Source organism: Homo sapiens, chromosome Y, assembly GCF_000001405.40.
Source record: "Homo sapiens chromosome Y, GRCh38.p14 Primary Assembly".
Lineage (NCBI taxonomy): Eukaryota > Metazoa > Chordata > Mammalia > Primates > Hominidae > Homo > Homo sapiens.
Window position 1 is genome coordinate 8450541 of NC_000024.10, and position 3591 is coordinate 8454131.

Genomic DNA, 3591 nt, shown 5'->3' on the forward strand with positions numbered 1-3591 from the left:
GACATATACATTTGCCCAGCTTCTGAGTGATTTCATAATCCTGCCTAGGTGTAGTCCACAGGTGAGATTCACACATATACTTCAGCTGGTCACCACGGTGATTTGACTCACCTGTCTTAACAATATCCTCAGAAAGTATTGTAATATGTCTCTGAATCCATCATCTAGGTTACCTGTCTCTCCTCCTCTGCCTGGACCCTGCTTCCATTGGGGATTGTAGCAATATTTTTCCTTTTTCTTTTTTCTTTTTGTCACCTAGGTTGGAGTGCAGTGGTGCAATCTCAGCTCACTGCAACCACCGCCTTGGAGGTTGTAGCATTTTTAAGCACTGCATGCAAATGACATGACTCTCTTTCCTCATCCTTTCAAGCAACTTTTCTTCCCGGAAATTGCCTACAAGGAGAATATTTGAAAATTCCTGATTCAGCATGTAGGTGTCTTGGCTATCACACCTGTTTCATTACCACAGAGAAAACTGACATATAACTAGGCACAACTCATAGGCATAATAATGACTCATACCTCACAAATAGGAGTAATTTTTGACTCTCGTTATGGGCTTTAGAAATATAAGTGATTAATACTCTCAGCTAAAAAAAAAAAGGTCTGAGATTATAATGGCCTCAGAAATTTTATAAAGCCTTTGGCTTGTGCAGAGAGTTTAATGACAGAACACAGAAGAAAGATAAAATTCTGAGTCTCATACACACATCCAGCTGATAGTAAAGACCGTCACCATCTCATATATATGAAGCCAGATGTCACTACTGAAAACAAGATATGTGCGGTATTGTAAATCTTATCCAGGAAATTTTCTGCCAGTGTGGCTGTGACATAAATATTTGCCAAGCACCTCTGTGATTTGACTCTCCAGACTGGTTTCATCCCACATATGTTATTGTGATATGTACCTAGGCCAACCTCTAGGTGAGGTAATTCTCCTGCCTGGGCCTTGCTGTCAGTGAGAATCATAACATATCAGTAGATTCAGCACCCTAGTCATGTTATGTTTTTGCCTGAGCCCTGCCTACAGAAATCACTGTGACATATCACTAGGTCAACAACTTACGTGATGTAAGTCTCCTCATTTTAATGGGCCCTGTGCATTGTGGGGGATAGTGACATATGGCTGGGCTAGAAACAAAGCTGATGGTACTCTTTTGTGAGGGCCATGTCCTAAAAAGGGCATTATGACAAATCTCTGGGTCTTCACCTAGGTGATTTTGCTCTCCTACTTGGGTCATGTTTACCTGTATAGTGACATGTTGCTAGGCTAAGTACAAATGTAATGCTACACTTTCACCAGGGCCATGCTTCAGGGGGACATTGTGACATATCTCTGGGCCTATCACTTAGGTGATATGACTCCCTGCTTGGGTCCTGCCCACATAGAGCATTGAAACATAAGGGCAAAAACTGCACCAGTTTGCTGTCTCTTGCTTGGGTCCTGTCCTAAGGGAGCCTTGTGACATAGCTCAGGATCCAGCATCAAGGTGATGTGGCTCTTTTGCCTGTTTTCACCTAACATGTAAGATTGTGTCATGTATCTAGGGAAGCAACTACCTGATATGTGATATGAGTCTTCTGTTCTGTTTGAGCCCTGCCTACTTGGGATATTTGGCCATATATCTGAGCTCATGTCCTAAGTGATGTGACCCTGTTTTTCCACCAGAGACTTTATAATGGGTTAATGTGAACTATTTCTAAGTCCAATACTTAGATAATATAACTCTTCATTTTTTCCTGAACTTTTCCCTAAGAAGAGGAATTGTGACATATTACTGGGCTGAGCACACAGATGATGCTTCTCTGCTGCCTGGGTCATTCATAAAGAGAGAATTATGGCATATATTTGGGCCCCCAACCCTGATGATGTAAGTCTCCTGCCTGTGACATAGCAACAGAAAGTATTTTAACATACCTTGGGCCCATGTTGTAGGTGTGTTTGCTCTCATCATTTGTCTATTTTTCTTCCAAATTTGGGATTGTGTTATATTGCTGGTTCCAGCAGCCCAGTTAATGTAACCTTCATTTCTACATCCTGCTTAGAGGGCATTGTGACATATTGCTTGGCAGAACACCTAAGTTGTGCTACCCTCTTGCCAAGTTTTTTCCTACAAATTGGATTATTAAATTTACATTGCTTCTATTCAGAGGGATGATGATCAAATTTAAATTGTGATTACACCAATAGTTCATATTTTGCCTCTCGTCGCTATGTATATGGCAATAGGTAATGTTATGAGTTGTATATTTGTACAAAACTTAGAGAATGTTACAACTCTAACTCAGATTCTATAAACTTACTGGGTGGTACACAGAGTTTTATAACAGGGTCCAGCAAAAGATTAAGATTGTGATTCTTGATTACATATGCAGATGAGAACAAATGTTGTCATCATCCCACATTTACAAAAGCCACTGTTGAATTCCTGAATCTAACAAGTAAATAAGGTACAAAGATGGAATTTTGACTTTCATATGTGGATCTTGCTACAGATGAGATGGTGACTTATTTCTGGACACAGATCACAGGCATAATAATGAGTCTCCCATCTCAACCCAGCCTATAAGGGAGATGTTGACTCATAGCTGGGTTTAAAGCAATATATAAGATTGTGAGTCACTATGAGCATGTATGCCTCAGAGTGGATTGCTACTCTTATGTATGTTGCATAAAGCTTTCCAATGTTGTAGAATGTGTCATACGGTGAGCCAGAAAACACATGAGATTGTCACTCTCATATACACATCAAGCTAGAAGTTAAAGATGTCACACTAAAAAATGAAGAGATTGTGTCCTATCTCTAGGCCTAGTACTCCTAGGCGTTGAGAATTTTTTGCTTAAATTCTCTTTTTTTTTTTTTTTACTGAAAATATTATGTTTATTTATTTATTTATTTATTAGTATTATTATACTTTAAGTTTTAGGGTACATGTGCACAATGTGCAGGTTAGTTACATATGTATACATGTGCCATGCTGGTGTGATGCACCCATTAACTCATCATTTAGCAGTAGGTATATCTCCTAATGCTATCCCTCCCTCCTCCGTCCACCCCACAACACTCCCCAGAGTGTGATGTTCCCCTTTCTATGTCCATGTGTTCTCACTGTTCAATTCCCACCTATGAGTGAGAATATGCAATGTTTGGTTTTTTGTCCTTGTGATACTTTACTGAGAATAATGATTTCCAATTTCATCCATGTCCCTACAAAGGACATGAACTCATAATTTTTATATGGCTGCATAGTATTCCATGGTATATATGTGCCACATTTTCTTAATCCAGTCTATCAGTGTTGGACATTTGGGTTGGTTCCAAGTCTTTGCTATTGTGAATAGTGCCGCAATAAACATATGTGTTCATGTGTCTTTATAGCAGCATGATTTATAGTCCTTTGGGTATATACCCAGTAATGGGATGGCTGGGTCAAATGATATTTCAAGTTCTAGATCCCTGAGGAATCGCCACACTGACTTCCACAGTGGTTGAACTGGTTTACAGTCCCACCAACAGTGTAAAAGTGTTCCAATTTCTCTACATCCTCTCCAGCACCTGTTGTTTCCTGATTTTTTAGTAATTGCCA